A 13,639-nucleotide genomic window follows, 5' to 3' on the forward strand; every position below is an offset into this window, starting at 1 on the left:
ACTACAGAACCACAGGCCCCTCCAAATACCCTTGGCCTTGACAGGACTGCGACTGCCTGCCCACTGTCACTCCACCTGAAGTCGGGGATCACCCCCGTCTTCCCTCTGGGTTCCATGCCCTGCCCTGTTCCCGTTCTTGCCGCATCAGCACTGTTCCTTAGTTGACAAAAACCTCCCTATGCTTCTGGACACCTCCTGCCCCCAGTTAAGCCAGGATAAGCTCTGCCCAACTCTGGCCTGAAGTGTCTCTCCCCATCCTGCAGCCTCTCGTGAAAATGTCTATTACTCCCCAGACCGCACTCAGCACAAGCACGAACCTTCCCGTTTATTCCCACAAGTGCTGTGCCTGCTGGTGGAAGCATTTCTCTCCCTTTCTCAGACAGTTTAGGGCAGAACCATCCTTGCACAATCTCCTTCTAGTCTCCATTTTGGTTGTATCTTACAAAATCATAGCTCAGCTTCTTTTTTATTTAACATTAAAGCGGAAGAGTAAGTCTGGTGTCACTTTACACATCCTCGGGGCAGGGAGAGTTGTTGGGTCCCCTTCTGTCACTAGGAGCATGGAATCCCCAGAAAGGTGACCTGCTATCAAACCTGGACAAAATTACCTTGAGGAAAAAGATAAAATAGACTTAATTTTCCAGACAGATAAGGATAAAAATTTTTCCAACTGGCAACAAGATTACCAATGAACCCTTCTCTCAGAAACTATGTAAGGAAGACAAATTAGAGAAACAAATTTGCTACTCGTCTGTCCAAATATATGTTGCACTCTGTACAAACCTCACCATGGAAGAAATCAAGTGTGTGAAAGCCTGCAGCGCCAGCCAATCTGAGACAGGAGGGCCCTGGGGCCTGGACATATCTCAGCTCTAATTTTTAAAGAAAACATGTAGGTTTTTTTTTTTCTGATCAATAAGCTCTGGAAGTTTTTTCTGATATAACTTTTCCCCCTTTAACAGTTTTATTGAGATATAATTCACGTACCATACATTTTAAAATATACAACTCAATGGTTTTTAGCATCCATCACAAAATCAACTTCAGAACATTTTCACCCCCACCCTTCACATTTCTGTATCCTTTAGCTATCACCAACAACATTCCCAAGCCTAGATAACCAATAGTCTCCTTGCCACTTTGATATATTTGCCTATTCTGGACATCCTACATAAAGGGAATTACACAATATGTGGCCTTTCGTGTCTGCCTTTTTTCACTTAGGATAATATTTTCAGAGTTCAGCCATGTTGTAGCATGGATCAACACTTCATTCGTTTTCATGGCTGAATAATATTTCACTGTACAGTGTTATGAGTTGAATTTTGTCCCCAAGAAATTCATATGTTGATGTCCTAAACTCCAGCACCTCAAAATGTGGCCTTATGTGATGACCGGATCTTTCAAGATAATCATGCTAAAATGAGGTAAGTAGGGCAGGTCCTAATCCAGTAACTGGTGTCCTTATAGAGAGGGAAAATTTCAACACAGTGGTGCATACAGGGAGACAGCTGTTCGAACACAAAGACAGAGATTTATAAGCCAAAGAAAGAGGGCTGGAACAGAGGAACCAACCACCGTGACGCCTTGACCTCACCTCAGACTTCCAGCCTCCAGGGCTGTGAGACAACACATTTCTGTTGTTTAGGTTGTTGTACACTTTGTTACAGCAGCCCTAGCAAACTAGTACATATGGGTACACCACATTTTGTTTCTCTGTCTGTCACTTAGACTTTTGGCTCATTTCCATTTTTTTGGCTATTACGAGTAATGCTGCTCTGAGCATCCACACACAGGTGTTTGTTTTCATTTCTCCTGGGTATGTACATAGGAGTGGAATGGCCAGGTCAAATGGTAACTCTGTTGAACTGTTTGTGGACTGCCAAACTCTTTTCCAGTGTGGCACTGCCCTTTCACATTCCCTGCAGGAACATATGAGGGTTCTCATTTCTCCACATTCTTGTTGACACTTGTTACGATCCTTCTTTTTTACTGTAGCCATCTTAGTGGGCGACGGTGGTGTCTCACTGTGGTTTTGATTTGTATTTCCCTGAAATGATATTGAGCATCTTTTCATGTGCTTATTGGCTGTTTGTACATTCTTTGGAGATTAAATTTTTTAATCCAAAGGTTCTGGGTAATCCAGGCCCTGTGCATCTCTGCAGACACATGTTGGCTATGCCACCCTTCCCCTCACTCTGATTCCAGTTATCTGACTTTCTTTGGTCTTTGGAGGCAAGTTCTGTACATTTTACTATATCAGGACCCTTATACTCTCAAGTCACTTGAACAAAGACAATTCTCTTCCTCATCTTTGCCCTGTTAACCTCAACTCATTTTTCAGAGTTCAGTTCAAGCATCACTGCCTCAGGTAAGCCTCCTTCGGCTACCCCAGCCAAGGGTCCATCAACTGGCTGAGCTCACAGAGAGCCCCATATCAGGTAAATGTGTTCAGTCTAGAAAATGGCCTAATCGCCCCACCCAAATAAGTCCTCAGTTCCACTAGGTACAGCTTTATCACCAAATTTTAATCTTTTCACTAGGCTAGGTAATCATACAACTTTAGAACTGAGTTAACTCTTTCAAGTAGGAAGATGAATATCCCTACCTTTCACTTAGATTTTCTGAACTAAAATAAAAATTACACTATAATTTATCTTGGTATGAATTGGTTATTTTCTGAAGTTTCATTTGGGCATTTAACAATCAAACCCATATCTGAGCTAGAATCCTTTGAAGTATCCAGATTAGGGTTGGGGCACTTTAAAGTTTGAGAAAGAAATAACGTTTAAGAGTGACCAGGCACAGTGGCTTATGCCTGTAATCCCGGCACTTTGGGAGGCTGAGGCGGGTAGATCACCTGAGGTCGGGAGTTCAATACCAGCCTGACCAGCATGGGGAAACCCCGTCTCTACTAAAAATACAAAGTTAGCCGGGTGTGGTGGCACATGCCTGTAACCCCTGCTACTTGGGAGGCTGAGGCAGGAGAATCGTTTGAACCCAGGAGGTGGAGGTTGCAGTGAGCTGAGATCATGCTGTTGCACTCTAGCCTGAGCAACAAGAGCGAAACTCCGTCTCAAAAAAAAAGAAAGAAAAGAAAAAGAAATAAAGTTTAAGAATATCAAGAATAAAGTAAGGCATTATGTTCATTTTCTTAGAAAGCCACTAAGCCAATATAAGAGAAGCACCATCTGCTGTGAATTGAATCACCTCTCTAGACCCAAGGCAGCCTTCCATGTCAAACACATGCCCAGCTACAAATGACAAAGGGTGCCATGTCTTCAGGGAAAAAAAGATTTAGACCAAGACCAAGAAAGCTTTTTTTTTGAGACGGATTCTCACTCTGTCACCAGGCTGGAGTGCAGTGGCGTGATCTTGGCTCACTGCAACCTTCACCTCCCAGGTTCAAGTGATTCTCCTGCCCCAGCCTCCCAAGTAGCTGGGACTACAGGTGCGCACCGTCATGCCCAGCTAATTTTTGTATTTTTAGTAGAGCGGGGTTTCATCATGTTGGCCAGGATGGTCTTGATCTGTTGACCTCGTGACCCGTCTGCCTCAGCCTCCCAAAGTGCTAGGATTACAGGCATGAGCCACTGTCCCCGGCCTAGACCAAGAAACCTTAAGTGTTTCCCACTAAAGGGAGAACAGAAGCCCAACCAATTTTATGATTACATTTGGTTTGCTTTCCTTGTCATCCCTCCATTTTGTGCCAGGGGAGCTGTATGGTTTCTTTGCTCCATCAGCTTGGCAACACCCTAAAAACTTCTGGGACAAATAAGTCACTTGACACTGGAAAAGAAAAGGGCACCTGGTTTTAGATTTGTTTTGTAATGAAAAGGCAGATAATGGTGCCTTATTATCCTGGGGAAGGAATTACTGTCCTTCCCCAGTTAATAGTCATGCAGGCAAACAATTGTCAGCTGATTTATTTAATAAAATGACACAAATGATTTGAACATAAGGAGCTGAAGTTGGCCAGAAAATGTGGGATCAGAGCAGAGAAGACCTTGAATGCAACCAGGAAGAACTGGTATCAGGCAGTGATTCTCTCCCACAAGGAATGATGTGGAGTCACACGATTACCTAAGAGCTTCAAACTGGAATGGGCTTTGCTGTTTCCCCAGATGTTGGGGGATTTTGGTGAATGTCAATGTTCAGGATAGGAGAGATTGACACTGACACTACTGCAGGGGTTCAGATATGAAGCAGTGACAATGTAGGCCAGTACAGGTAGCCATGGGAATGACGAGGAGAAGGCAGATTTGAAAAATAGGAAGTAGGCTCAGAAAAAAGGCGGACTAGCATAAATAAAGGAGATGAAGGGGGCTTCCAGAAGTTAATGACAATGTTAAATCAAGCAAAAGCATTCCTATCTAAGGAGGATTGCCTCTCAGTGTAGCATGTCCCTTGTCTATGTTTACGCCACCCCAATTAGATCGCAGCAGAGAACAGAGCCTAGCACTCTTCTATTTTCTTTATATCTGGAACATCTACCCATAGAATGGGCTGGTGAACAACAGGGGCTCAATTACTGGTTGACCAATTCCCTTGTGCTTGGGCAGAGACTGTTGTCTCTTCAATTTAATGAACATTGACTTTGCGTCCACTGAGTGATGGGTGCTCTGCAGAAATTAGGAGAAAATCCATGCCATAGAAAACAGCTTATGGGTTAATGCAACTGTGAGGACAGGGAGTTTTTGTGTATTAGACAAATAAGTCACTAAAATACAAGACAAAATAAGACCAGTGCTTTGCTGGCCCAAGAGAGAAACTTAGACCTGTGAAGGTGAGGGATTCAGCATGAGTTTATGAATTTGGATGAGCTGAAACAAGTCTTGGAGGTTAAAGGTGGGAGTAGGGAGAGGCATCTCAGAAACAGAAGCAAAAGCAATGAAAGGGATGTGCTGACTGCAGCTGAGAGGTTCGCATTAGCACTGTGAGTAGAGAAGCCTACCCAACGTAGCCACACTCTTGACAGGTATGCTATAGCCAAGCATTTAGAACCTTTATTAGATTTTAATCATGATGCTTTTATTGGATATGCTATCACCATTAAAATTATTTTGTGTTGGAAAAATGAACTACAAATGGGATCAGAGACTTGCAAAAGTAAGACAGTGGCCCAACCATGAGCTCAGTCTGCAGTCAAGTGACACAGGTGAATGCCTAATGTGGCCTTGGAACCATCCTCCAGGACTCTCAGGCATGTAGAGTGGGATAAAGAGCAGCGGGCCAAAACAAATGCACACAGACACATGCTTTCTGTACTTGAATAACAAGTCACACAGGCCAAAAGAGGACCCTACCCTCAGCAATCACCACACCAGACCCACACCTAGTTTGTGCCTGTAAAAAAAGAAAGAGTTTTTATTTATCCCAGCTTCAGGGATAGAAGGATGTGTTGCTATTTTCATTAGATATATAAAATTGACAATAACACTCCAGTGTTAAAGAAAACACCTAGTTATTGTGTGCTCAAAATTTATACAAGTCAGTTGATGCTTCTGTAATCTTACTTTATTGAATTTAAAATAAGGCTAAAACAACATTAGTCCTAGAGCTGAATTAGATATAAGAACATTTATCTTCTGTTCTCAAGGTTTAAAAAGTTGCAAAGACCCAGATTCTTCACATTTCACTTTTATAGATATTTGTTGACAATAGTCTTATAGAAAATTCTGAAAAAATGTCATTATCCCATCATTCTAACCTAATGATTATTTCAATACTTTTTTTAAGTCTATGAATGCATGAATGTGACAATCAATTCTAGCCATTAAGGTAAATAAGTAAATAATTTTCTAAAAATGCAAATATTTTATAAGTATAGTTTAAATTTTGATAATTCAGCTTTCCTTAGATCATCATACCTTTTTATTCTAAGAGGCACCATGTGACCATTACTAGAACACGGACAGCAAAACTGGATTATAAACTGATACTAATTTTGTACAAAAGGATTATGAAAATCTTCAAAAAGATCATTGTATTATGATAATTTCCCCAAATGTTGCAGATTTGAGAGCTTTCTCCCTCCTCAATAGTAGAGAGAAATAGGAAGTAGGAAAAATAGGAAGTAGGCTCTGCCCCGCATCATGTCCTGACTTCAAACTGCACAGACAAATAGCGTTATTGAGTGTGAACCTGAGCTCCTCTTGCACACACCTGACATGCCCCAGGACCCCTCATAGGCCCATGGCACCATCCTCTCCCTGGCCAGCCAGACAGCCTCCCTCTACCAGGTCTCCCGTGTATGCAATCCTAATGCCCTTTTTGTTTTGTTCCCCGCCCCCCTCCATCTTTCTTGAAGTGTGATTGACAAACAATTTTACATATTTAAGATGTGCAACGTGATGATTTGGTACACTGCAATCACAGTAATTAATATATCCATCTCCTCATGCAGTCACTCTTTGTGTGCATGTGAGGACACTTAAGATCTACACTCTTCCCAAATTTCAAGTATCTGATTCAGTATGATTAACTATAGTCATCATGCTGTACATTAGATCCCAGCATGTATTCATCTAGTAACTGAAGGTTTGTACCCTTTGACCAATATCTTTGATTTCCCCTGTGCTTCCCAATCCCTGGTAACTACTATTCTATTCTCTGTTTCTGTGAGGTCTACATTTTTAGATGCCACAGATAAGTGAGATCATGCAGATTTTTCTTTCTCTGTCTGGCTTATTTTACTAAGAGTAATATCCTCCAGGTTCATCCATGTTGTCACAAATGACAGGATTCCTTTTTTTTTTTTTTGAGACTGAGTCTTGCTCTGTCACTCAGGCTGGAGTGCAGGGGCTCCATCTTGGCTCACTGCAACTTCCATCTCCCGAGTTCAAGTGATTCTCCTGCCTCAGCCTCCCAAGTAGCTGAGATTACAGGCATGCACCACCACACCTGGCTAATTTTTGTATTTTTAGTGGAGATGAGGTTTGGCCAGGCTTGGACTTCAGGTGATCCGCCCACCTCAGCCACCTGAAGTGCTGGGATTACAGGTGTGAGCCACCGCATCCAGCCAGGATTCCTTCTTAAGGCTAAATAATATTCGTGTGTGTGTGTGTGTGTGTGTGTGTGTGTGCGCGCGCATACGCATCACATTTTCTTTACCCATTTACCCACAATAGGCACTAGGTTGACTCCATATCTTGGTTATTGGGAATAATGCTGCAATGAATATGAGTGCAGACAGCTCTTTGAAATGCTGATTCATTTACTTTGGTGCTTATTTTACTGAGCATAATGTCCTTCAGGTTCATCCATGTTGTCACAAATGACAGGATTACAGGCTTGCGCCACCATGCCCAGCTAGTTACAGGCTTGCACCACCACAGCCAGATAATTTTTTGTATTTTTAGTAGAGATGGGATTTCAGTATGTTGGCTAGGCTGATCTCGGACAGCTGACCTCAGGTGATCCACCCGTCTCAGCCTCCCAAAGTGCTGGGATTACAGGCATGAGCCATTGTGCCCGGCCAGGATTCCTTCTTAAGGCTAAATAATATTCCTGTGTGTGTGTGTGTGTGTGTGTGTGTGTGTGCACCCGCACAGTGTGAGGCAGTGTGAGGAGTGGGAAGAGGAGGATGTGCTAATGTGATTCCAGATCACATCAATCCCAGGAGCCAGGAGATGGAGCAGGCCAAGGGAGGCGAGGTGGGAGGTGGAGAGAGGATGTGGAAACCATGGAGGACCTTCCCATCTACAGTGTACAGGGATTCCGCTTCTCCACATCCTCGCCAACCCTTGCTAGAAGTTGACTGTTTGAGAACAGCCATTCTAACAGGTGGGCCTACATCCCATTCTGCATTGGCCTCTAGCCCTTCCATCCAGTCCCCTCGGAATCACTCCCTTTCTCCAGTTCTTTTCACTATACTTTTCTGGCTTCTTGCCTCAGCTAGAACACACCTGAGAAATGAACAGCTTGAAGAGCTCCCATTCAATTAAAAGGCCCTTCCTGTAACCTTATACTCCATGCTCACTCTTGCCTGAACTCTCACTGCCTGTCTCACTCAAGAACTCCTGACTGGGCACAGTTGCTCATTCCTGTAATTCCCTCATTTTGGGAGGCCGAGGCGGGAGGATTGCTTGAGCCCAGGAGGTTGAGGTTGCAGTTAGCTGTGATCCACTATGGCACTCCAACCTAGGCAACAAGACCCTGTCTCAAGAAAAAATAAAGAGCTCCTGGTCTTCATTTTCTCACTCCCCATTTCCTCTTTAACACAGAGCCACCTGGCTTCTGCCCTGCATGTTACCAAACCCCTTTAGCTGAAGCTGATGACTTTGGCCAGTGACTCCTGTGCAACAGACCCTGAGCCCCCCTTTCAGTGCTTAGTGACAGCGCTCTCAGATGATACAGTTGACAGGGTCCTCCATGGTTTCCACATCCCCTCTTTCCCCCTCCCACTCCTCCTCCCTCGGCCTGCTCCATCTCCTGGCTCCTGGGATTGATGTGATCAGGAATCACATTAGCACATCCTCCTCTTCCCACTCCTCACACTACCTTAGCAGTCACCTCAAGCCAAGACTGTAGATCAAAATATTTACCTCCTTCCCAGGCCTGTCCTCTGAGTTCTAGATGCCTGGGGACCAGAACCTGGATGTCACATGAGAATTTTACATTAAATATGATCAGCCCTTAACTAATCACTGATTTCCCATTCCACAAACACCTGCTCTTCCCGACCTGCCTTCGCAAAGAATCACATGCTGGGTCCCCTGACTGGACCCTCCTGGTCATCTCAGCACCTGCCTCCTCTTCCCCATCCAGCAACCAATCCACACCCTCCTCCTGGACATCTCTCAAGTCTGTGCTCTGCTCAACACATACTCTGCTTTGGGCTCAGTTCAGCTCTCTCACTGGCTCTCACCTGGCTTGTTTAGAACCCTCAATGACTGTCCCTGCCTGCAGACCTACCCTCTCAGCTCACCTCTCATGTGGCCATCCATGCATCTGGTCCCATCTTTGCTAATATCCTTCTGTGGATTCTCACTGCTTCCAGGTAAAGCAGGGCTTCCGGGACATGACACCCAAGGACCTCCCGACCTGCTCCCTTGTCTCCTACCCTATGTGCTCCCCAAAAATCTTCAGTGTCCCCAACATACCCTGCATCACACTATGCAGACACACATCACACAGACATGCCCCACCCCTCCCCACGGCACTCTCTGCCTGAAACATCCTCCCTCTGCCTCCTTCCCCAGGGCCACTGCCTATGGTCTTGCAGGTCATGCACCCCACCTCTGGGTGGACCATGGGCATGTAGTATGATGTAGTATGATGTTGTGGTACCCCTTGCATGTGCATGACCTCAAGAACTCTGTGACAGCCCACACTCCCCTTGGTGCCCAAACTCCTGGTCATCCTTCAAGAATAATACTTCTCAAGGGTGGTCTGAGGACCCCAGCAAGAGAACTATTTAAGGTGCCTTCTAAAAACAGTGCTTCCTGCCAGGCACATTGGCTCACACCTGTAATCTCAGCACTTTGGGAGGCCAAGATGGGAGGGTTGCTTGAGCCCAGGAGTTCAAGACCAGCCTGGGCAACATAGTGAGACCCAGTCTCTCCAAAAAAAAAAAAAAAAAAAAAAAAGAAACAAAACAAACCCGTGTTTCTGGACCCACAGAATCAGAATAGTTGATGAATGAATGAAAAGGCAGGAAGAAAACAGCAATGGTGTTGTTTGTGATTATGGGTGCTGAAAATCTCCATGTCCTCATGTAATCATTACAAGAAGTCAATGAAAGTCCTTTAACAAATGCAGAGACTGAGGCTCAGAAAGGTTAATTAACTTTCTTCAAGGTCAAACAGGTAGCAAATAGAAAATGTAGCATTTGATTCTAGGCCATTAAAACTTTAAAGTCCAGCTACCTGCCTACACCCTGCTGTGATGGTTAATTTTAGGTGTCAACTTGACTGGATAAGGAATACCTAGAGGCCTGGTGAAGCACCACTTCTGGGTGTGGCTATGAGGGGGTTTCCAGAGGAGATTGGTGTCTGAGTTTGGTTTGATCTACTCCACCTTAGGAGTAGATCCATTATGTTTATGGCATTATGCTGCTTGGACCTAATGAGCGTGAAGTAGCAACTACTATGGACTTGTTGGTAAGTAATTTGCATGTCAGAGGGTGGAAAATAAATCCAATCAAAATTTAAGGGCCTTCTACCTCTGAAATTTCTAGGAATCCAGTGATATGGAGCCTGTTGATGTATCCCTTGTAAGGTGAAGGTTAAGTTGTTGCACCTGGCCCCTTCCACAGCCAAGAAAAAGGCACACCGCCTAGTGGGCCTACTTGGATTTTGGAGTCAACATATTCCTCATTTGGGTGTGTTACTCAGGCTCATCCACCAAGTGACTAAAAAAGCTGCTAGTTTTGAATAGAACCTAGAACAGGAGAAGGCTCTGCAACAGGTCCAGGCTGCTGTGAAAGCTGCTCTGACACTTGGGGCCATACGATCCAGCAGATCCAATGGTGCTTGAGGAGTCAGTGGCAGATAGGGAGGGTACAGAAGAATCACAGCAGAGGCCCTTAGGATTTTGGAGCAAGGCCCTGCCATCATCTGCAGATAAGTACTCTCCTTTTGACAGATAGCTCTTAGCCTTAGTAGAAACTGAATGCTTGACCATGGGCCACCAAGTTACCACGCAACCTGATCTGGCTATCATGAACTGGGTATTATCTGATCTACCAACCCATAAAGTTGGGTGTGCACAGCAGTGTTCCATCATTAAATAGAAGTAGTATACACATGATCAGGCCCAAGCAGGCCCTGCAGACACAAGTAAGTTACATGAAGTGGCCCAAATGTCCATGGTTTCTCTCTCCCCACCTGCACCCATGGCCTCATGGGAAGTACCCTATGATCAACTGAAGAGGAAGAGGAGACCAGGTCCTGATTCACAGATGGTTCTGCACAATATGCAGGCAACATCTGAAAGTGGGCAGCTGCAGCACTTTGGCCCCTTTCTGGGATATCCCTGAAGGACACTGGTGAAGGGAAATCTTCTCAGTGGGCAGAACTTCAGGCAGTGCACCTGGCCATGCACTTTGCATAGAAGGAGAATGGTCAGACGTGTGATTATATACTGATCCATGGGCTGTATCCCATGGTTTGGCTAGACAGTCAGAGATTTGGAAGGCACATGATTGGAAAATTGGTGACCAAGAAATCCTGGAAGAGGTATGTGGATAGACCTCTCGTGTGGACAAAGGATGTGAAGATATTTTTGTCCCATGTAAATGCTCACCAAAATGATCTCAGCAGAGGAAGGCTTCAATAATCAGGTGGATAGGATGACTTGTTCTGTGGGTATTAGTCAGCCTCTTTCCCCAGACACCCCTGACATGGTCCAATGCACTCATGAGCAATGTGGCCATGGTGGCAGGGATGGAGGTTATGCATGGGCTCAGCAACATGGACTTCCACTCACCGAGGTCAACCTGATTACAGTCACCCACTGAACACCCAATCTACCAGCATCAGAGACCAACAATGAGCCCCAGTATGGCACTATTTTCTGGGTGATCAGCCAGCTACCTGGGGACAACTTGACTACATTGGGCCTCTTCCATCATAGAAAGGGTAGCATTTTGTCTTTACTGGAATAGACACTTACTGAGTACTACAATACTGACACTTACTGGAATAGACATAAGTATATGGATTTGCCTTTCCTGCATGCAATGCTTCTGCCAAAACTACCATCTGTGGACTTATAGATGCCTTATCCATCATCATGATATTCCATACAGCATTGACTCTGACCAGGGAACTCACTTCGTAGCCAAAGACATGTGGCCATGGGCTCATGCTCATTGAAATCACTGGTCTTACCATCTTCTCCATTATCCTGAATCAGCTGGCTTTATAGAACAATGGAATGGCCTTTTGACATTGCAGTTACAGCACCAGCTAAGTGACAGCATTTTGCAGGGCTGAGGCAAGATTCTCCAGAAGGCTGTATATGCTCTGAATCAGTGTCTAGTATATGGTCCTGTTTCTCCCATAACCAGGATTCATGGGCTCAGGAATCAAGGGGTGAAAATGGGAGTGACACCACTCATCATTATCCCTGCTGATCCACTAGTAAAATTTTTGCTTCCCGTTTGCACAACTTTATGCTCTGCTGGCCTAAAGTTCTCAGTTTCAGAGGGAGGAATGCTTCCACCAGGAGACGCAACAACGATTCCATTGAACTGGGAGTTAAGACTGCCACCTGGCCACTTCGAGCTCCTCATGCCCTGAGTTGACAGGCTAAGAAGGCAGTTATGGTATAGGCTGGGATGATTAACCAGACTTCCAAAAGGAAATCGGGCTACTACTCCACAATGCAGGTAAGGAAAAGTATGTCTGGAATACAGGAGATCCCTTGGGGCATCTTTCAGCATTAGCATACCCTGTGATTAAGGTCAATGGGAAATTGCAACCCAATTCAGGCAGGACTGACTGCAAATGGCCCAGACCCTTCAGGAATGAAAGCGTGGGTTACCCCACAAGGTGCCATGACCAGCTGAGGTGCTTGCTGGAGGCAAAGGAAATACAGAATAGGTAGTGGAAGGAGGTAGTTACAAATACCAGCTATGACCACATAACCAGTTACAGAAATGAGGACCGTAATTGTCATGAGTGTTTCCTCCCATTTGTTAAAAATACATTTGTATGTATATATACATATATTAAGCAAATATCTTTGTTTTCATTCCTCTCTCTTATGTAACATAAGATACTGACTTTATATCCGTATTGACGTATTGTTAATTTTACATCATAGTATTTAAATTACGGGATCTCATGGGAAGAGTAAACATCAGTCAAGGACTTGACCTCCTTTCTGGGGCAGGGGTTAATGCATTTTTGGTTGAATGCAGGATAGCTGCATCACGCTGGGTGAACTATTACCTTGTTATTGTCTTTAATTGGAGACCAAGTATGGTTTAAGGAGATGGGTATGGGTGCCAAGTTGACAAGGGGTGGGTTTGTGATGGTTAATTTTAGGTGTTGACTTGACAGGATTAAGGCATAGCTAGAGAACTGGTAAAACATCATCTCTGGGTGTATTTGTTTCCACAGGAGTCTGATGTGTCAGTCAGACTGAGTGGGGGAGATCTGTCCTCAGTGTGGGTGGGCACCATCCATTTGGCTGGGGGCCCAGATAGAACACAAAAAGGCAGGGGAAAGGCAAACTCATATCTCTCTTCTTGGAGATGGGACACCCTCCTCCTCTTGCCCTTGGACATCAGAACTCCAGGCTCTCTGGCTTTTGGACTCCAGGACTTAGACTGATGTTCCCTCTGGGTTCTTGGGCCTTCAGCCTTGGACTGAGAATTATACCATGGGCTTTTTTGGTTCTGAAGCCTTCAGATTTGGACTGAGCCATGCTACTGGAATCCCAGCTTGCAGACAACCTGTTGTGGGACTTCTCAGCCTCATAGATATATTTATGATTTCTCATATATATTATTTCTTTTCATCTTGTAAATTGTAATCCATAATATAGTTTACCCAACAACTAGAAACTGTGATACACACACATATCTTATTGGTTGTGTGTTTCTGGAGAACCCTGACAAATACAGTTGGGTTATGGTGATTTGGAGGCCATCAACTAAGCCTGGCCCGTAGCTGCACAGTTTCTAGTT

Source organism: Homo sapiens, chromosome 2, assembly GCF_000001405.40.
Source record: "Homo sapiens chromosome 2, GRCh38.p14 Primary Assembly".
NCBI lineage: Eukaryota > Metazoa > Chordata > Mammalia > Primates > Hominidae > Homo > Homo sapiens.